Source organism: Homo sapiens, chromosome 4 (genome assembly GCF_000001405.40).
Source record: "Homo sapiens chromosome 4, GRCh38.p14 Primary Assembly".
NCBI lineage: Eukaryota > Metazoa > Chordata > Mammalia > Primates > Hominidae > Homo > Homo sapiens.
In genome coordinates, this window is record NC_000004.12 from 147,594,590 (window position 1) to 147,617,251 (window position 22,662).

Consider the following 22,662-nt stretch of genomic DNA (forward strand, 5'->3'; position numbering starts at 1 on the left):
TTATTGTCTCATGGTCTCTTCTGAGGGAACTCAAACTAAAACAAAATGCTTATTGAATTAAATCCTCAGTTGCAGATGAGAGGTTCAGGGACCATGCCAGATGCTGAAGGCACCAAGATGGATAGTGATGAGCCTTCTCATTCAGCCCTTACTCAGCACTGCCTCTGGCTACCAAGCACTGTGCTCCTATCATGTACCAGCCCCTGGGACTCTCCGTTTACATGCATCTTGGCTAACCCTTTCCACCACCCTGCCCAGTAGCTATCATTATGCTCAAATTGCAAACGGGGAAATTGATGCTCAGAGGGTTTTCCAAAGTCACACAGTCATAGAAATGCCATCTTTGGTTAGGGAGCAGTGCCTCACACCTGAAGTTTCAGCACTTTGGGAGGCCAAAGCTGGCAGATCGCTTGAGCTCAGGAGTTTGAGACCAGCCTAGACAACATGGCAAAATCCCATCCACACAAAAAATACAAAAATTAGCTGGGTGTGGTGACATGCCTATAGTCCCAGCTATTTAGGAGGCAGGATTGCTTGAGTCCAGGAGTTCAAGGCTTCAGTGAGCTGTGATCACGCCACTGAACTCCAGCCTGGGTGACAGAGTGAGTCTCTGTCTCAAAAAAAAAAAAAAAAAAGAAAAGAAAAAGAAAAGGGCCGGGCGCAGTGGCTCACGCCTGTAATCCCAGCACTTTGGGAGGCCGAGGCGGGCGGATCACAAGGTCAGGATATCAAGACCATCCTGGCTAACACAGTGAAACCCCGTCTCTACTAAAAATACAAAATATCAGCCGGGCGTGGTGGCGAGCGCCTGTAGTCCCAGCTACTTGGGAGGCTGAGGCAGGAGAATGGCGTGAACCCGGGAGGGGGAGCTTGCAGTGAGCCGAGATTGCGCCACTGCACTGCAGCCTGGGCGACAGAGCGAGACTCCGTCTCAAAAAAAAAAAAAAAAAGGAGTGCCATCCTCCTGCAACACACCACCTCCCTGAGACCCACAGACAATAATACAACAGGCTTTAGGACACGCCTCTCTTGAAGTACTTAAAAGTGAGTTGAGAATACACAACACTTATACATGAAAAAATAACTCATGACACAAGAGAGTAAGGGAAATGTGTGACAGGCAGCTCAGAGAAGAATCCCTATGGAGTTCAGAAGAGAGATAAGGGTCAACTGGGAATATTAGAGAAATCTCATGGGTGGCTGGACTTAGGCTGAGCCGGAGTGAATGAGTTAGATTCAAATGGGAGACTCAGGGAAAGGAGAGAGTTGTGAGTGAGAAGGATGAGTAGGCACCGTGCAGAAGCAGCACTGGGCATGTTTACTGTGACTGTAAACAGAAAGATGGCCTGAGGACAGGATAGCAGGAACCAGGCCATATTATAGAGGCCTGGGGATGCCAAGAGCTATGGTTTGAATATGTGTCCCCTCCAAAACTCATATTGAAATTTAATCCATTGTGGCAGGATTGAGAGGTGGGGCCTTAGGGAGGTGATTAGATCATGAGGGCTCCATCCTTATCAAGGAATTAATCCGTTCATGGATTAAGGGGTGAATGGAGTAATGGGTTATCACAGGAGTGGACTCCTGACTTTATAAGAAGAGAAAGACCTGAGCTAGCACATTCAGCCCCTTGCCAAGTAATGCCCTGCACCACCTTGAGACTCTGCAGAGAGTCTTCATCAGCAAGAAGGCCCTCACCATATGCAGTCCCTTGACCCTGAACTTCTGAGCTTCTATAACTGTAAGAAATACGTTCTTTTTCTTTATAAATTATTCAGTTTCAGTTATTCTGTTATAAACATAAGATTATTGATTAAGACACCAGGTAAAAAATATGGAGTTCATCTGAATATATATGTGGAGCAAATGCAGGCTGTGAAAGTAGAAAATTGACATGATCAGAATAAGATTTTATCAGATTCATCCGGCAGTAGAGGGCAGGATTGCTTGAAGTAAAGAGAATAGTTAGTAGACTCCTGACAGGCTATGCCTATGGTAATAAAGATCTAACCCAGAATAATGAACAGGAAGGTGTAAACTACATTACAAAGCAAGAGTTGTCAAATCTGAGTCACTGATGGGTCAGAGAGGAGAAAGAATAAAGAAAGCTCCTTTACTGTACCTGGATAATGGGGAAAATGGAAACATGAACAAGAAACTAGAAAGTTGTACATAAGAAAATGACTAAAATAACTCAATATATCATCATTTCCCTAAAAATTATACATTGGGAAGATTTTTCTGAATGATGTGGAATTATGGATGTGTTCCCCCTTGGTGGACAAAAGTAACTCAAACCTTTCGGTGAGGAGCTATCTCTCCTCCACTCTCCTCAGCCCTCTCCATGACCTTATAGAACTAAAGCCAATAGTTACTGAGTGTAGAAGATATCTGCTGTTTCTGCCTGCTAAACATCCCCTCCCCCTGCACCTGGAAACACCATTTGTATTTCTTGTAGAGATTGCATTCCATGCAGCACAGGTGCAGTTGGACCCATTCTACCCCGCCCCCATCAATCTCCTCCTACCCCTTGTCCAGCTACAAAAAAGGGCACATAGCCCAGACCTGGCCAATTTGTTTACCCCATGCCATGTGCATAGCACAGTGATTCAGAAAGAGGTATGTGGCTGGAGCCAAGCCAATCACTATCCATGAAATTATTCTAGAGAAGTAACAGGAAGCACTTCTTTCTGCAACAATTAAAGTCCATATTAGGAGGTAGGAGCTCAAAATTAACACTGAAAGATTACAGAATGAGATGCAGACTAGGAAAGGGCCTGGCTAAAACTGGAGAAGAGAAACTCTCTCAGGCCTGCCTCTCTGTAGACCAGTCTGTTCCACTGTAGGAAACCTAACTGCTGACAATCCCCAATTTGTTGTCGGTGTCAGGGAAATCTGAGACAACACGTGTACCCAGCCACACTATGAACCCCTAGACCCAGCCACATCTGAACTTGGCTGAGCTTCTGAACTTTCCAACTACGTCAACAAATTTTTTTTCTTTAAGGAAATAAAATTAAATTTGGATCACTTGCTACCAAAAAAAAATGTTTAATGTAGCTAGCTTTACTAGCTTGTTATCAAAATGTGTTCTGCTTGTGCCCACAGCTCAATCTTAAAAATCACATTCCTGAAGTTCTTCCTTCCTTGACCACCCCAAGTATGTTACTCCTCCCCTCTCTCTGCCTTCCATGCCTAGTTTGTTTGCAGTTACCTTGAGGAACTTGTAAAAGGTTGCTCTAGTTGCACACCCTCCTATGTGAGGCCAATAACAAAGGAAGATCTCCAAAACACCTTCCAAAAAAGCAAAGCCACAAATGGCCAAGCCCAGATGACAATCACAGTCCCAGCTAATATCTTTATTGCATCCGAGTAAATACCTGGCAGAGAAGCCAGCCATGCCGTGCCCCAACATCTGACCTACAGAAACTGTTAGATAATAAATATGGGTTACTTTAATCCATTAAGTTTCTGGTAATTTGTGACTTAGCAATAGAAAACTTATAGAGGACAGATGCAACAACTTGTCCCTCACCTCGGAAGGGATATTTTCACACGCCCAAAATGAGTAGGCCCTTAGAAAATTGGAATGGAGACAAATTGGCAGATTCCAGTGAAGTTGGGGACCTGAACCTCTAAATTTGGTTGAGCCTTCTTTGTCAAGAGAAGCAGCTCTTCCAACTGTGTTTAAGGAAGTTAGTACACCTTGGTCTGAAGAACTTTCCTGGTATACTGCGGAGGAAGGTATCAAGCCTTAGGAAGATTGGACTTGGAGCTCCATCCTCAAACACAAATACAAAAGCCTTTAAAGAGACTATTGAACCAGCTATTCCAAACACATCAGGTTAAATAACTGTTAAAATAAAATAAAACAAAATAAAAAATGGTGTGAGTGTGTGTGTGCGCGTGAGCGTGCATGCACATGCACACATTTCCTGGTGATTCTGCTTCTCTGGCTCAATCTATAGTGGTAAAGTTGAGGACATTGTCACTAATCCATGTTCAAAGTGCATCCACCTTACCCCAAGGCTTGATGTTCTCATAATGTACCTTCCTTAAAGTGTCATTTTCTACCTGCCTGGGAAAGGCACAAGTCACATCTATCTTTCTCAATTTGGTTCAAGAATTTCAGGACATATTAGGCAATTTTAATAAAATCACTATGAGTTATCATCAATCTGTCCTTTATATATACAAAGAATGTTGACCGGGCACGGTGGCTCATGTCTGTAATCCCAGCACTTTGGGAGGCCAAGGTGGGTGGATCACGAGGTCAGGAGTTCAAGACCAGCCTGGCCAAGATGGTGAAACCCCGTCTCTACTAAAAATACAAAAAAATTAGCCGGGCATGGTGGCGGGCACCGGTAATCCCAGCTACTTGGGAGTTTGAGGCAGAGAATTGCTTGAACCCGGGAGGCAGAGGTTGCAGTGAGCCGAGATCACACCACTGCACTCCAGCCTGGGAGACAGAGCGAGACTCTATCTCAAAAAAAAAAATGTTGCAAGAAAATCTAAAATTTGTTTCCTTTAAAAACATTGTATAAAGTCAAGTGCAGTGGCATGCACCCGTAGTCCCAACTACTTTGGAGGCTGAGGTGGGAGGATCTCATGAGCCCAGAAGTTCAAGGCCAGCCTGGGAAACATAGCAAGCCCTGTCTCAAAAAGATTATTATCACTATTATTATTATATATTTTCTCAAAGTGTTGCCTTGATGTTTCCCTTTATTTTGTGTCCTTTTGTTTAAGAATGCAAAATATCTAAGATTGCAAAATATCTAAGATTGCTATCATTTCGGCTTGTGAAAGAAACACAAACTAGCTATAGCAGTTAGGGTTAAATCAGAGAAGCAAAGCCACTAGATTATTATGGGAATAAAAGATTTATTATAGGAATTTAGATCTCACACAAATGTGAGAGCAGCTGAGAAAGTGAAAGTCAGAGAATTTAAGAAAGAGTCATAAATGAATCCTCTGAAAGCACTGGCATGAGTAGGTAAACTGGAGCTTTCAGGGAAATCTGCGACACCAGATATACCCAGCCACTTTAGTGAGATTGCAAAGCGGGAGCTCTCAGAGAGGTCTACGGGAAGATGTTCCCTCTGTGTAGCTACCACCTCTATGGGTTTGCAGCCAAGCATCTGGGTAAGGGGGAGGAGGGAGTAGGTCTGCTTTTGGTGAGTTGGGCTGGCAATCAGGAAGCCGAGCTGGACAGTGTGGAGGAGAGGAAGAACAAGTGTGGACCCAGACACCTCTGTGTCTATCTATCTGACCATGAGACCTTCCAAGAATAATGGTCGTTGCTTCTTTTCCACCTTCCAAATCTCGTGCATCTTCCTCTATGGCCAACTCTAACCCAGAACCATGCATGGAATGTAATTCCCAGCTTAACCCACCTACCATGGTGTAATCCAGCACAATGACTAAGCAAAAGATGAATTTGTTATTAGAGTCCTGGGGCTCCTCACAGAACTGAGGACAGGAATGAGATTGGATCTCAAATTAGCTGGAAACAGGAGTTCAGATGCCATTAAGCTCTCTGGGTATCTTGCCTCTCTTGCTGCTCTCAAGTTACCTGCTTGTTTACCTGCCTCCCTTTAGACCGGCCTGTTCCACGGCAGGAAATCTAACTGCTGACAACCCCTAAGCATGATTCCCTGCAGCTTCTTCAGACATGTCAAGGGAAGAGAGACTCTCAGCTCTGTCTCTTCATGCCCAGTCCAATAAATTCTGAGAAGGGACTCATTGGCCAGAGGACTGGGTCACATGGTATCACGGCTGCTCCTGCTGTGCCATGTGGATAGGGAAGGGGAGAACAGTTTTCAGAAGAAAGTAAATGTGGAGCAAAGCAGCTCCATAGGCATCCACTGCAGGAGGAAAGATCTATTTATTAGTACTTACAATATAACAGATTCTATGCTAAGAGTTTTGCATACATTATCTCACTGAGTGCTTATCTCAAGACTTTGAGGTTGTTACCATTATTGTTCCCATTTTACAGATAAGGAAATTGAGACACAAAGAGATTATATCTTACTTAAGTCCCAAAACTAGCTATAGTAAGATTGGCCTGGCTCCAAAGAGGGCTCGTTGACTTCCAGTGTTCCAAGGGGCTCCAGTCACTCTGTTTGTCATTATGCCGTGGGCTTTCCCCCAATGTTGCATATTGACAAACTTCCCAAGCTATACTCTACTGTGTCCTTTCTCATTTCACAGGTGACAGAGACACAAAATTACCACCAATCTATACACCTGGAAATAACTCTGCCTCCTGGCACAGTGCTTTTTTCCTTATTACACACTGCCTTGCACCCTTGATCATCCACTGCAGTAAATATGATAAAAAGATACTTTCAATTTCTTTCTCATAGAACAAAATGTGTTCACTCTGGAGTACATTTAGTTTAGCATAATCAAAGCTAAAATTCCTATGTGCTATAATCATGTAAATTGCTATTGACACTACTTCAGATTCAAGAACTTCTACCAGAAAGGTCAAAGCAAAATGGAACAACAGCTTGGAAGTTCATTATTGTCCTCACAGAATTTCATTATCAACAACTAATACATATTGAGCATGCTATCACAAGACACCGTGCCAGGCATAATGAATAGATGTAAGTGTGTAAGACATAGTCTCAGCCTTTTAAAATCTGGCTGAGTGGGCTGGGTGTGGTGGCTCACGCCTGTAATCCCAGCACTTTGGGAGGCTAAGGTAGGTGGTTTACCTGAGGTCAGACTTTCAAGACCAGCCTGGCCAACATGGTGAAACCCTGTCTCTACTTAAAAATTACAAAAATTAGCCGGGTGTGGTGGCAGATGCCTATAATCCCCAGCTACTCGGGAGGCTGAGGTGGGAGGATCATCTGAACGTGGGAGGTAGAGGTTGCAATGAGCTGACATCGCACCACCGCACTCCAGCCTGGGTGATAGAGCAAGACTCCATCTCAAAAAAAAAATCTGGTTGAGTGGATAGAACACAGACATAGACTGTATAATCAACCATTTATGGTAGCCTATGAATGAATGAATACACTCAGTGAATCATACAGAATAGGAAGTAATCTCTGGAGACTGCAACAGTCAGAAAATTTATCAGGAGGAGGTAGGAATCGAAGCCTGGATTTTATCTAACATGTATTCCTTCAGTCATTCAATAATTTGCTCATTCACTCAATAGTTCTTCAGTTGGGCATCATGCTTAATGCATGTAAGAGTAAAGGGACAATGGTGTATAACCTGGATAAGAGGCATGAGAGTTATGGGAGATAATACGATTCCACTGGCAGAATATTTCAATTCAAATGTGCAGTGTACTCTACTCTTGCATCCACCTGTCACTTGTTGAGTGTCTCTTACCTGCTGAGAACTCTGCTAGATCCCTAAATGAAGCAAAATTCTGGTCACTGTCTGCAAATACTCACAAAACATTTAAATAATGTCTTTGTCCAAATAGTCCTTGTTGTGTAGCAAGAGGACTTTGTATCACACAGTGTAGGCTCAAAGAAATGGTACAAGGGGAACATGATGCATGCGTACTCAGGATTCTTGCCATCCAACTGTTGGAAAGAATATAACAGGACACACCATGGTTGTGCTCCAGGAAAAGGACACAGGTCCCCTGACACCTTGCATTCTTACAGAAGCATTAAGAGGGGCAGGGACCACTCAAACAATTTGGGAAATCCAGCCTAGTTAGTACAAGAAAAAAAAAATGTCCTTTCTCAGATATTAATTTGCATATCAGCACTGGGTTCAGCTAGAGGCCTTGAAACTTATACCCCTCCCTGCTCAGCCATCTTGTTGCCTTGTTGAGGGAGGGCCACTGTGCTCATCCAGGAATGAGATAACTTAAGTCTTCTCAGAAATGTAGTCCAGAGTAAGGTGAGATGGGAGGATAGACTCACAGATGGAAGTTGGATAGGTGAGGGGAAAGGGGTTGGGCACTTTTTTTTTAAGACAAGGTCTCTCTGTGTCACCCAGGCTGAAGTGCAGTGGGTGCTATCATGGGTCACTGCAGCCTCAACTTCCTAGGCCCAAGCAATCCCCCCACCTCAGCCTCCCGAGTAGCTAGGACTATAGGTGCGTGCCACCACACCCAACTAATATATATTTTCATTTTTTGTAAAGATGGGGGGTCTCCCTGTGTTGCCCAGGCTTATTTCCAAAGGCTTTTTTTTGTTTCTAAGACAGGGTCTCGCTCTTTCACCTAGGCTGGAGTGCAGTGATGCAATATAGCTCACTGCAGCCTTGAACTCCTGGGCTCAAGCAATCCTCCCACCTTAGCCTCCTGAGTAATCAGGACCACAGGCATGCACCACCACGCCTGCCTAATTTTTTTTTAGAGACAGGGTCTCACTATGTTGCCCAAGCTGGTCTCAATCTCAGGCTCAAGAGATCCTCCTGCCTCAGTCTCCTAAAGTGCTGGGATTACAGGCACGAGCTACCATGTCCGTCTGGGCATTCTAAACAAGGGGCAGACATAGGCAGATGTGCAGAGCCAGGAAAAAGGACGTCTAGTTCCCCACAGTAACTTAAGTGCTCAGTACAGTGCTGAGCAATAGTGGGTGCTCGGTAAATATTTTGTTGGATGGCTGAAAGACATTCAGGCCACCTGCATGCCCAGGGCCTCTCAAACTTGGTGCATAAAAGGAGTAGCAGTGTCTTAGGGAATATCCAGAGCACCAAGACAAAAACAGACATAGTTTTACCAGATTTATTGGTAAGTAAATTAAAACTCTAAACAAATTAAAACAGGCCGGGTGCGGTGGCTCATGCCTGTAATCCCAGCACTTTGGGAGGCCAAGGCGGGCAGATCACAAGGTCAGGAGATCGAGACCATCCTGGCTAACACGGTGAAATCCCATCTCTACTAAAAATACAAAAAATTAGCCGGGTGTGGGGGCGGGTGCCTGTAGTCCCAGCTACTCAGGAAGCTGAGGCAGGAGAATGGCATGGACCCGGGAGGCAGAGCTTGTAGTGAGCCGAGATTGTGCCACTGCACTTCAGCCTGGGCGACAGAGCAAGACTCTGCCTCAAAAAAAAAAAATTAAAACAAACATATATTCATATATGTTATATATAAGTGCATGGGTATACATATGTACATAAATCACAAAGTTCCAATAAATTATTCAAATAAAATATAAGATTTGAGATAAATTTGCCTTTTGTGGAATCTCCCTGCAATACTCAGACCCCTGGGAAACAGGCGTTCAATCTTCTCCGCCATTAGGGATATAAAAGTGGAAAAGCTTGAAAAGTAGTACTGGATTCCTATTGAGCAAAAGAAAAAGAAAAAAGCGGTGGCTCACGCCTATATCCCAGCACTTTGGGAGGCCAAGGCAGGTGGATCAGCTGAGGTCAGGAGTTCGAGACCAGCTTGGCCAACGTGGTGAAAACCTGTCTCTACTGAAAATACAAAAAAAAAAAAAAAATTAGCCGGGCATGGTGGTGGGTGTCCGTAATCCCAGCTACTTAGGAGGCTGAGGCAGAAGAATCGCTTGAATCTGGAGGTGGAGGTTGTAGTGAGCTGAGATTGCACCACTGCACTCCAGCCTGGCAACAGAGTGAGACTCCATCTCAAGAAAAAAAAAGAAAAGAAAACAGTGATTAAAATAGCAACTAAGAGATAAGTTGTAAGATTTCTAACCTTTTCCTGAAAAAAGAGCTGCCAGGTAAGGCTAAAGAAATTTGTTTATTAAATCAGCAATAAACTAGATTATGTGGTTTCCAAAATAAATATGATCTTTCATATTATACATGTAATATGTAAGATATGTTTATAAAAACAAATAATATAAATATTATAAACAGAAATATGAGTTAATATCAATAAGCTTTCACAACAAGAAAGTGTCTAGTGTCATAAACCATCTTTGGGGAAAAAACAAAACCCTGCTAGATCTAAGAGTTTGTGACTGTATATTCATATGCACACGCACACATATAATCTCCCACACTTAAACTAATCTAATTAAGAAACTACAGTCTCCTCTTAAAGCTGAAATTCTTTCAGGTCATGGATAAAGACAACAATGGTATGGCTAATGCAATATACAATAATATACAATACAATACAATGCAATGCAATACAATACAATAATGGCTCATTACTAGAAATATTAGGAATTACCTATAACTCGAAAGAAAACTGGGCCACCAGGCTTCATTTTGGTATTATATTTTTTTGCATAAAAGTATACTAGTCTTCGGTTTCAAACTTTGTTTTCGCTCTGCCTTCCTTCGCCTCTTTCAGAAAATACACAAGGCACGGCTCTGGGTTCCCTGAGCAAAACCAGACTGGTCAGCTTCGTGTTGCTGTAACCTTCAGATCTGGATATTGTCACCCATTTGCTCTTTCCAAAGACAAAGGGGGCCTATTTCAGGACACCTGGCCTGTTGTTTTACTTTTTTTTTTTTTTTTAATGCTGGTGAAAGTGTAGCTGAAAATTCAAATGGAAAAGAATTTCAACAGGTCAGCATCTTCTTTTCCACTGATTTTTATCTAAACAGAGTCTTGAGAATGCTTCTGTGCCAGATTATTATTCTGTGGCACAGCCAACCTTATCCCTGCAAGCCCCTTCATAATCAGTGTCGATGGCCACAGAGTTCATTCAACCCATAGTGATGAGAATCAAACGTGAAGATGGTTGAAATAATTGGGTCAAATCTGCAGCAGGCCACAGGAGAATGAGGGCACATTCAAAAATCATAATGAATCACATTCTCTGTGGGTAAAATAGGAATGATGATGATGTGGTATCAGCCAATTTCAGATGGACACTAGCAAGAAAAATGTAAATAATTAATATTTATATAGGTGCAGAATAAAAATAAATAATACTGTATCATATGAATGTAGGTAGATTTATGTCCCAAACATCTGATTTCCAGCTCATTCCCTTTCACAAAAAAAAAAAAAAGGAAAAAAATGTTATGCAGTAATGGAAGCATCAGGGAATTGGAATATTTTCTGTTACAGTATGTTTTAAATATTTTCTGTTACATTATGTCAGGTTGGAATTCTTCCATTTTTCACACCAAATCCATCCTCTCCCCTTCTCTGCTGTGCTCCATGCCCTGGGAGGCTGATCTGTTTGGACTACAACAGGCTTCCCTGTCCTCTGGCTTCCACCAGGTTTGGCCAAGAGCAGGCAGTAACCAGAGATCAGACAAGGGAGGAGAGTGAGGTTGAGCATTCATTGTTTCAGCTCCCCTCTAAGGGCTCATTCTTGCACAGAAGGTCACAGCTCTTTTCAGATGGCTCATTCACACAGCCTGTCTACCTCCCTTTAGAGGTCATTACTTCCTCCTTTTTGTCCCATTACTGCACCATCCCAAATGGTTTCCATACTCTTCGCCCACGCCTTTGTGAATAACCTGTTAAACTCTCTTCAAATCACTCAATTTAATTTACCATGTGTTTTCAGCTGGACTCTTGACTGAATCATATGATCACTAATCGTTTCTAAAAATTATTCCACAGTGTTCACCCAAAACAATTCTTTGACAACAACATAAAGTGTGTCTACTTCCCTTCAACCTGTACATGGTTTCCACTTTGACCATGGCCTGAGTCACTTGTCCTAAGTGACTCTATTTTGATATTTATGATCACAAACATCACTATATATCAGGCCCCTTCTTGGGGAGATAACGTTAGAGGGAGGGTGATTGGGTGGGCTACACATGAAAAATCTACTCTAGTATCTTTATTTCCAAAATCTTTACATTTCTCCCTCTATGTTATGCCAAGGAAATTTTAGCACCTTATCTTCTCTTTCATATGTAGGCTCATAGAAGCAGAGAGTAGAATTGTGGATATTAAAAGCTAGAAAAGGCAGGTGGGAGAGGAGGAGGGGAGAGGTTAGTTAATGAATACAAAATTACAGCTAGAGAGGAGGAATGAGTTCTGGTGTTCTGCAGACATTAGGGTGAAAATAGTTAACTATGATTTATTGTATATTTTCAAAAAGCTAGAAGACAGAATTTTGAATGTTCACAGCACAAAGAAATGATAAATGCTGGAGGTGATGAATATGCCGATTACACTGATTTGATCGTTACACATTGTATACATGTATCAAAATATCACATAAATATAGACAATTATTATGCATCAACTAAAAATAAAAGGAAAGATTTTTAAGTACTTTGACTTTATTTAGTGTTGACCAACACATTACACGTTTCAGTCATCTAGGATCACTCCAGCTGCTCCAGATAGCAAGATTTGCCGAAGTAAGAGAAGAGAGTGCAAGAGATTATTACACCAGCAATTAAATACTTCAGCCTGAAAGTGATATATGTGACTTCACCTCATAACCTATTGGCCAGGACCACATGGCCCCAACTGCGAGGAGGACAGCAAAGTGTAATCTTTCAGGTTTCTAAGAGGAGAAAAAAAACTAGATATGTGTGAGCATCACAACCATGTAACTTAGAGCTGTCAAAGGTGATGAAAAGTTACAATATTCATACAGTTTTCAACTTGGAGGATTGTAGTCACTGTATTTTGTGTTATTTAGTTGTTTCTCCCTCCCAACTTCCCACATCTTAAATGTAACTATACTAATATTTCAGGTTTCAGGTGACAGTATGTCTGAATTGATACCAACTCACAATAAGACATGAGTCTGAGCCTTGTGCTCATGCTCAGTTTACAAAATAGTTTATCGGTACCTTCTGGACCTGTTAGGGCTGCGTCTCGTAATTGCCATTTCCATTTTACAATGGAATACTACTGGGCATGCCCAGTTTTATGGTTGTGATCAGATGATAGTTAGTTTGTGGTAGGTGTTTTAGGTTGTCCAGTCACTAGACCACCAAGTGCTTTGTTCTGGGACTTGCCAGAGTCTCCAAACAGCATCTCTGCTGCCATGCTACAGTTCCAATGCCATTGAATCCATTAGGTCATAAGACTCAAGTGGCATGTCAACTTTCAACCCAGCCTGGACATGCTGCAGGTCTTATTCTTGTTCCAGGACTTCCTTAAGACTGGAAGCTTATAGGTTATTTCCTAAGTAGGTTAGTGCAGCATGCCCAAATGTGGTATATGTTGTCACCAAAATCCAGAGGCTTATCAAATACAGTGCCTTTTTCTTTGTGGTGGAGGGTGCAAAGTCCTGCCATTTGTGATTTCCTAACATGCTACAAACCACTGGCCTCTTTTCACACGTCACCAAAGTGGTGGCAGGGCCCTGAACTTTCAGAGGGTTTATCTCCCACCCTTAGCATATATATTTTCTACTTCCTTCTCACTAGGTCCAACAAACAACATGCTTATCAATGTAAAGAACTCGTGTGATGTTCCACAGAATACAATAAAGATATACCCTTGTCTCTGCTATATAAATGCAAACTGCTTCTGATTTTGCCTACTGGTTAGGATGGGAAAGAACGCATTTTCAGGACAACAGTTGTATGTCAGGTGCCTGGGGGGATCATTTGTTTCAGTAAATATCCTGTATCCAAAACCATAGCTGCAACTAACTTCACCACCTGATTAGGTTTGCAATAATCCACTGTCATTTTCAAGGCCCGTTAGGCTTTTGTTCCAGCCAAACAGAAAAGTTTTATGCAGATATAGTAGGAATTACTACCCCTGCTTCTCTCAAGGTCTTTATGGCAGCAGTAATTTCTACAATTCCCCTAGCAGGATCACTTACTGTTTAGTAGCTTGGTGAATTGTTTGGGAAGAGCTCCAGTGGCCCTAGATAGTCCTTCCTTTCATAGTAGCCTTCACTCAACAGGACAGGGAACCAGAATGGTATCCTGCTAGTTACCAACTATATGTGTATGCATATGCATGTACATGTGTATGTGTACATGCATGTGTATGTGTACCTGTATGCATATGTGTGTGTGTGTGTGTGTGTATGTATTCCCACCAGATATCCTGGGACTGGGATAATATACACTGGATGGGCCTGCAATCCCAGTAGGTCCACTGTTACATGAATTGGAGCCACAAATTCATCTAACACCTGACATCCATAAGCCCTACTTTGGCAGATGATTGTAATGTTTTTGGTCTGTGGCATAAGTGTAAAATCAGAGCCAGTATGTGATACTTCCCAGTAGGTTTTATATTCCCTTCTCCCCGTCCACAGACCCCTGGGTGAATAGCTCCAGGTCACCCTGTGGAAGACTTGGGAGGAAATCCACTGGATACACTATGGCTAAAGTACAGAGTTCTTCTTCAGAGGCAACTGGCCTCCATCTCTGTTGAGGGGCTTCATCCGTCCACTGGCTGAGTTCTGAGACTCTGGTAGGAAGCCATGAATCCTAACATGGTGTCTAGTTTGTTTCTGCCCAGTAGTCCTAGAGGTCTAGGTCTACTCAGTGGACCTCAGTAAGCTGCCCCTTGATTTCATGTCAAAACACTCCTATGACCATTCCTTCTCCATGATGCATTGTGCTAACTGCACATAAATTTGTCTTTGTCTATTAACAACTCCCACCTACCCTCTACCTCTCTGGAATCCCATTTTCTCGTTGTAATTGGGACATGCCATTTTTGCAGCATTTCCATTGTCTTCTCTGGAAGTCAGAGGACAGCTACCAAGGAAGGCCCCTTCCCCAGTGCTTGGTGAAGAGGTGTTCTCCAAACCTCCTGCTAGGTAGTAGCAGAGCTGGTTGCTAATAACAGGGCTTTAAAGAGACAAATTTAAAAGCCACTGCCACAAGTTTCTGAATGCTGAACCCTAGCATTCCACCGGAAGACCACAACTGTGCTGGATACCTCATTCTGCCTTCCAGCATACCAAGAGAGTGCATTACTAGGGGAACCTAGTCACTATTCAGACCATTAGTTGCAAGGAGTTTGGGAAATGTAGTTTCTAGCTGGATGGCCAGGTGCCTAACTAAAACTCTTTTACTATGACAGAAAGGAAGAACAGATTCAAGGAATAATTTCCAGTTCCCCACATTCAGCTCTCCTTCTCTACCAGTTCCTTCCCATCAGCATTTAAACATGTTCACAGATTGTTGTTATTTTCTTCCACTTTGGGAGGAAAAGTAAAACTCATTTCCATATCCCCCCTCACTATTTCTCTCCCTTTATTCTATATAATTAAATATTATAAAAGAATTGTCAGCTAGATGTGGTGGCTCACGCCTGTAATCCCAGCACTTCGGGAGGCCGAAGTGGGTGGATCACTTGAGGTCAAGAGTTCAAGGCCAGCCTGGTCAACATGGTGAAACCCCATTTCTACTAAAAAATTACAAAAATTACCCAGGTGTGGTGGTACATGCCTGTAGTCCCAGCTACTTGGGAGGCTGAGAGAGGAGAATGCTTGAACTCAGGAGGCAGAGGTTGCAATGAGCTGAGATCATGCCACTGCACTCCAACTTGGTCAACACAGCAAGACCCTGTCTCAAAAAAAAAAAAAAAAAAAGAATTGTCTTCGAATGCTTATCAGTGTATGTAGAAAAGTCTAAATTTAGCATAGGAAAAGGAGCTCTGGATATTAATACACAATATACAAAACTGAGACCTGTGGAATGATTGAAAATTGAAGACTTATTTTTTTTAACATCACCAGTGTGGTAAGCAGGATAATGACCATCCTCCCCCAAAAGATGTCCATGTCCCAATTCCAGAAACTGTGCATATGTTACCTCACAGAGCAGAAAGGGATTTTGTAGACATGGTTAAAGTTAAGAACCTTGAGATTAAGACATTGACCAGGCACAGTGGCTTACATCTGTAATCCCAGCACTTTGGGAGACTGAGGCAGGAGGATTGCTTGAGCCCAGGAGTTTGAGACCAGCCTGAGTAACATAGCAAGACCCATTTGTACAGTCAATCAACCAATAACAAAGAAGAATTGGGGAAAATATCTTGGATCATCTGAGTGCGCTCAATCTAATCACGTGGGTCCTTAGGAGTATAAGATGAAGAAGAAGGGATATTACATGAAAGGGACTCCACTCTCTGTTGCTGGCTTTGAAGGTGGAGGAAGGGGACTGACCATGAACCAAAGAGTGTGGACATTCTCTAGAAGCTATGAATGACCCTCAGCTGACAGCCAGGAAAGAAAGCGGGGCCTCAGTCCTACAACTGCAGGGAACTGAATTCTGCCACTGACTTCAATGAGCAAGGAAATAGGTTCTCCCCTACAACCTCCAGAAAGGAATGCAGCCTGCTGACCCCTTGGTTTTAGCCCTTTTAAATCCATGTTAGACTTCTGACCTCCAGCACTGTAAGATACTAAATATGCATTACTTAAGCCACTAAGTTTGTGTTCATTTGTTCTGGTGACAATGGAAAACAGATGTATCTTATACATCAGATAAGATACTTTTCCCCTTAAATCTTCTTCCCTGGGGACATTGATCACAAAGCGGTATTTCTGAGAATAGAGAGCATTTTAAAAGCTTGGTTCTAGGGCAATTGCCAGATTCTTATATCCTGACCTACACATGGTTCCAGGGAGAGGATGAAGCAAGAAGAGAAAAAACAAAGACCTTGCTCTTCTGTTTCCCTCTCATTTCCCAAACAAGAAAATTGGAAAATGCAAATCATAGAATTTATACTATTGGAGAAAAATATCTAGTTCTACCTCTACATAGTAAGGATACCTCATAAGTAGAGGCACCATTTATGGCCCAAGCCTGATGGACTCTATTCAGAGCTTTGCATGCACAGAACATTCCTTTTACAGTGTGGGAGGAGTTACACAGGCATGCGAACACACACATCCCACCCATAGAAAACCATCTAGAACAGGTGTTCATGAGTTTACACAAGGATGCTCAACAGCCTTAAATACACAAACAAAGTAAAGGTAAAACTCAAACTTCATAGAGACCACTCCTCATGTTCAAAGAAGAAAACTCCTCCACACTAGGACAAAATTCCCCATGAATTCTCTTTACCTTGTGTAAGTCAAAGCCTTCTTTCTATGGGGATCACCACAGGCTAGCATCTAATGGACAAATACAGTGCATAATAATTTTGATTTAAATCCTAAAAGAATTTGTCTCAGTATAAAAATATTTTTCCTTTCTCACATTTTTAATAATACACAGAATCTTCTTCCTAACCAGAAAGACCTTTGCTCCCAAATCTACTGAATTACCTAGTTTTAAATCTGTTAAAGTAATTTAAGTTTTTCTAGTTCCTTTTAACCTGAAACTTGATATTCTAGAAGTATCACTTAAATTGGTCTGAAAATAAAACATCAATGGAGATAAGAAAGAGAAAAAAAAAAGAAACTTCCCCACCAGATAGAGCTACTAGAAAGCTTACTTAGTGAGTAATAATTTATAGAAAAGGTAATTTATTATTTACTATGTTAAGTTGTTTGCACCGTTCAAAGTATCTTCTTCGCTCAGTGACAAAACACCACATATACTTCTAAGGCCTATTGGGTGCTCAAACTGCTTTATCACCTTTCTTGTGAGGAAACTAGACAGCACTATAGTGATTAATCCAGTAATTCTAGTAACACATCTTTAAAGATGAGGGCAAATGTTCTATTCATTTAAATATTTATTTCAGTAGTTTAAACAAAGAACCTTTATAAAGAAAACCCAATATAAAAGTTAATATACTGGGGGAATAAATGTGAATCAAGAATGTAAAATTTAAATCTATAAAGCAGAGGAAGCCATGAGAAACAATTGTTGGGCAAGCCTGAAAATGTGGGGAACAGTATCTGGAATAAAATAAGAAGCAAGGCCAAGGACAAAGGCTAGTCCAGGTCAGAAGCACAGATGGGACTGCAACTCCCAAATCGTGTGCTGAAGAGCGACAGCGTGCTGGAGTGAACTCACAGAAGCACCTTAGGATGTTTTATACTTTTAAAAGAAACACAAAAACATCTGTCAGATCGTATGCGAATGTCTGTAATTAGGTGTTTGGAACTAATTACTTAATAAGTGAAACTATTAGAATTTCTTTGGCTAAGGGACACCATGAAAAAACTAGTGAGATTCTAAGGGCACCATGAAACAAGAAAGTTTGGAAACTTCTGCCTTAGGGACATGCTAGGATTCAAAGGACATTGCCTACTCAGAGTAAAATTAGAGTAGCAGATGAAAAGTGGAAAGGACAGTGCCTCTAGCTTCTGCATACCTAATTATACACAGTGGGGCCTTTTCATAGCTCAATGCTAGCTCTAAAAACTCTTGTGCGCTCTCATTCTAAATTCACTGCAGGAGCCCCTTAAAATCACTGAATCTTGCTTTCAAACCAGCGAATTTCGTTCTTCCTTAATAACAAAAACAAAGCAGTAATTTTTCAGTGTTGGTCTTGGGACCAAACAGAGTTCCTCAAATATTTAGAGAAACTCTACTAAGACTTAAGTATCACCTTCCTCATGAAGAAATGAATGAACTTTATGGAAAGATTCACTCAGCAACTTCATAATAGCCCATTATCAAAATTTTAAAATTTACTCTAAATCAGGGGTTGGTAAACTTTTTCTATAAAAGTTCCATAGTAAATATTTTAAAATATTCTTTTACAACTCTTTAAAAATGTAGAAACCAACTGAAAGCAGGCACTTGAGCAGATATTTGTACACCCATGTTCACAGCAGCATTATTCACAATAGGCAAAGGGTGGAAACCTAGTGTCATATCAATAGATGAATGGATAAACAAAATGTGGCATATACACATAAAGGAATATCATTCAACCTTAAAAAGGAATGAAATTCTGATGTATGATACAACATGGATGAAATTAGAAAACATCAAGCTAAGTGAAATAAGCCAGACACAAAAGGGCAAATATTATATTATTCCATATATGAGTTACCAAGAATAGTCAAATTCATAAAGAGAGAAAGCAGAACAATGGTTACCAGGGCCAGAGGCAAGGGCTAATGGGGAGCTGTTTCATGAGTACACATTTTCTCTTTGGGTGATAAAAAAGTTCTGAGGATGATAGGGGTGATAGTTGCAAAATGTAAATGCAGTTAATGCCACTGAAATACAGTGGTAGGTAAAGTTGAAGCTTAGAAGTGGACAGAAACAGCTTAAAGGTTCAGATTTGAAAGTTTAATTTTACCACTTGTGCTACTTTTATTTTCTTCTGCACTCATTTGGTACACAGTAGACCATTTCCCCTCCCATGTGTTGGAAAGGAGAAAAAAGGAAACATTGGAAAATTAAGCATACTGTAAAGACTCAGATCTCTCCCCTGCATGCTTGCAACCTTTAAATCTAAAACTCACTTAACTCATGGATTAGTTAGCACAATCTCAGACTCTGGAGCCAACCTATCCCTAAAAAAAGAAAAACCTAACGGACTGTATGTAGGCTGCAGGCAAAAAAAAAGTCACTATAAGCAAGAAACTTCTTTCAGATTAGATAAATCGTACATAAATGTATAGACAAAAGACAACTGTTTCAGTTATCTATTCACTGGAAGAGATGTGTAACAAACAACCCTAAACTCACTGAAGTAAAACGACAATCATTACCCTCATGAATTCTTCAGGTCAGGACTTAGGACAAGGCAGAGCAGGCATTGTATGTCTCTGGCCATGATGAGGGCCTCGGCTGGGATGACCCAAATGGCTGAGCGGCGAGAATGGCTAGGAGCTGGAATCAGCTTCTCAGCTCACGTGACTGGCACCTAGGCTGGGCTGACTCAAAGCCTGGGCTCAGCTGTGACTGTTGATCAGTATTACCTTCAAAGGGTCTCTCTGTCTGTCTTGGGCTTTCTCACAAAATGCCAGCCTCAGGCAGTGGAACTTCTCACAGGAAGGCTGGGAGTTCCAAAAGGTAAATGTTCCAGCAGACAAGGTGGTACTGCATGGTCTTTTATGACCTAGCCTCAGAAGTCACATATGGTGACTGTGACCATTTTCACCAACTTCTATTGGTTAAAATCAATCACAAGCCCACATACATGTAAAGAGAGGGAACACAGACTCTATTTTGTTATCAGATGAGTATCAAAGAAGTTGCAGCCAGGTTTTAAAACTACCATGGACATATTTATAGAGAAATGGAGATACATGGCAAAGGGTTAACAGTGTCCATCCCCCAGGATCCCTCAAAGTGCATTTAATCTATTATCTTAATTCAGATTAATCCAAACTTATCCTTCAATAATAGCAAATTCCACCTATTTGCATGTGATGCAGCAGTAACAAACTTCAATTAACCTCTATAACTTGCATCAAAATTGACTAATAGCTTGTTTTTGACCCTAGCACCATCTGCCAATTTTAACCATTTCTTATTTTTCAAACACCATCAAGCTCAGATCCACCTTCAGGCTTAGGCTCTCATATCCAGAAAGAATGCAGAGAATGCCTATAGCAAGCAAAGCAAGTAGATTAGGATCACATCAGCATTATGGCCTATTCCCTATCCTTACTAGACTTTAGGATCTTACAGGTCAAGAGAAAAAAATGAAACAAATGGTAGGCAAATAAAGCTATCAACTTTTTATTCTCCAAAGTAAAAATATCTGAAGAACAACTACTATCTATTATCATATTAAAAAATAGGATAGACAATTTCAAAATAAAACATGGTCCTTAAGAGTGAAGAAATTTAACTAAATGAAAAATTCATATATCTCATCTGAAATGCTTTGGACCAGAAGTGTTCTGGATTTCAGATTTTTTCAGATTGGGGAACATTTGCATTATACATACCAGTTGAGCATCTCAAATCTGAAAATCCAAAATCTGAAGTGTTTCAAGGAGCATTTCCTTTGAGCATCATATAAGTACTCAAAAAGTTTTGGATTTGGGAGCATTCTGAATTTCAGATTTTCAGATTTGGCATACTCAATCTGTAATTTTGTTTTTAATTTCTCTGCTGAGCTGAAGAAATTTCACCATAGAAGAATTCCAGTTCGCAAACTGGTATGTGAAATCATTTGTGCATCTGTCTCATCTCTTCTCTCTTTTGCTTTTTTCTAATGGATTTAGATTTTTGCTTTAGGAATTCAAAATCTAAACAAGACAAATAAGTAAATGAGTATAATACCATATAAATGCTGTAAGAATACATGGGGAAACAAAAATAAAGGAAGGTCTCACAAATTAGGCAAAAAAAGTTTGCCCATGAGAAAGAATGGGAAAGATTATAGGCAGCAAAAACGCTGTAGCTGAAAGCACAGAGACAATCTACGCATACGGCATATCCAAGATAGCCTCTACTGTGTACCAAACAAGTAAAGAGTAGTTATACTTGGCCGTAGAGTAAAATTAACTTTCTCTTCATTATTCTTCTTTTTTATGAACTTTAACAACAGAGCAAGCATTAATTTAATGATCAGGAATTTTTTTTAATTAATTTTATTTATTTATTTATTTATTTATTTTTTGAGACAGAGTCTCGCTCTGTCGCCCAGGCTGGAGTGCAGTGGCTTGATCTCGGCTCACTGCAAGCTCCGCCTCCCGGGTTCACGCCATTCTCCTGCCTCAGCCTCCTGAGTACCTGGGACTACAGGCTCCCGCCACCACAACTGGCTAATTTTTTGTATTTTTGGTAGAGACGGAGTTTCACTGTGTTAGCCAGGATAGTCTCGATTTCCTGACCTCATGATCCGCCCACCTCCGCCTCCCAAACTGCTGGGATTACAGGCATGAGCCCCTGCACCCAGCCTTAATTTCCATTTTTAAAGTAAGCTTAGGAAGAACAAACATAAGGCCTATTTTTCCGGTAGAAAGTAGTTTGGGTCAGGTTGTAAAATACAAATGTTAACAACTGAGAAGTAGGCAGTGAAGTCAAGTCCAAACAGACGATACCAAAAAAGGGGCTCATAATATTCCTTAGGTGTCTCTGTGAGACTCCTGGGCTAGGTGTACTCAATGTTACAAGCCTCCTTATCCGTATGGTCATTAGGCGGAAATTCCCCAGGTGGCAGGTACTAGCAGGTCAAATGCTTAAATATAATGCCCTTTGGAGTCACAAAGACCAAGGTTGCTATCTCCACACTACCACTTAACTAGCTCAGTGAGCCTGGGCAAATTTATCAGCCACTTGACTTTTTTATCTGTAAAGTGGAAAAATGCCTACCTCTCAAAATTTTTGTGCAGAACAACTTACATAATGTAGGTAATGAACTTAGTACAGTGCCTGTCCCCCTGAAAATTACAATTACAATATAAAACGCATTTGTATATGTAATTGAGTAGTAGATATTTGTTTACTCTATTGGTTTAGCTAAAGGCTTTAAGCATATGAAACTCCTTTGTCAGATGGAATGTCAACTTTTTAAAACTTAAATGAGTGCAAATTTTTAACACAAGTTCCAAATGTAGAAGGGACATTCCCTATTTGCGGTTAATTCTAAAATGAAGCTACCTTTAGAATGATCCTTCTGTAGGATCCAGAAATAACCAAGCGGCCTAGCCCCTAGATTCTAGCAACTGACAGAAAACTAGGTGGAGGTTTCCCATTCTTCCTTGTCTTCTTACTCCAGCGGGCTTCTGTATCCACTCTAGATTGAATAGGGGATGTTTTGTGTAGAGATGGGCCTTCTCTCTTCCAGTCCAACTCTGAAGTAACCGCCCCTTACCCAAGCTTTCTTTAAACTGGAATAACGCCAGCAGAAGAATGTAGTAGGTGTGCTTCAAGTGTCCTCAAATAATTCCCGCAGCTTCCAGAATCCTTGCAATAGCCCGCTGGACCATCTGCGGCAATTCCACCCACTTCCACGCACCTGCTCTTCTTTCTAACCCC

General features: G+C 41.3%; 1 long non-coding RNA gene across 1 annotated transcript; it reads right to left on the reverse strand.

The window, feature by feature from the left end:
- Positions 1 to 12,129: 12,129 nt before the first annotated feature.
- On the reverse strand, positions 12,130 to 22,656 carry TMEM184C-DT (TMEM184C divergent transcript). The gene is made up of 2 exons (NR_186679.1): positions 22,499 to 22,656; positions 12,130 to 15,372 (listed from the first exon to the last, which is right to left on the reverse strand). It is a non-coding gene; the product is annotated as a TMEM184C divergent transcript (long non-coding RNA).
- Positions 22,657 to 22,662: the final 6 nt, after the last annotated feature.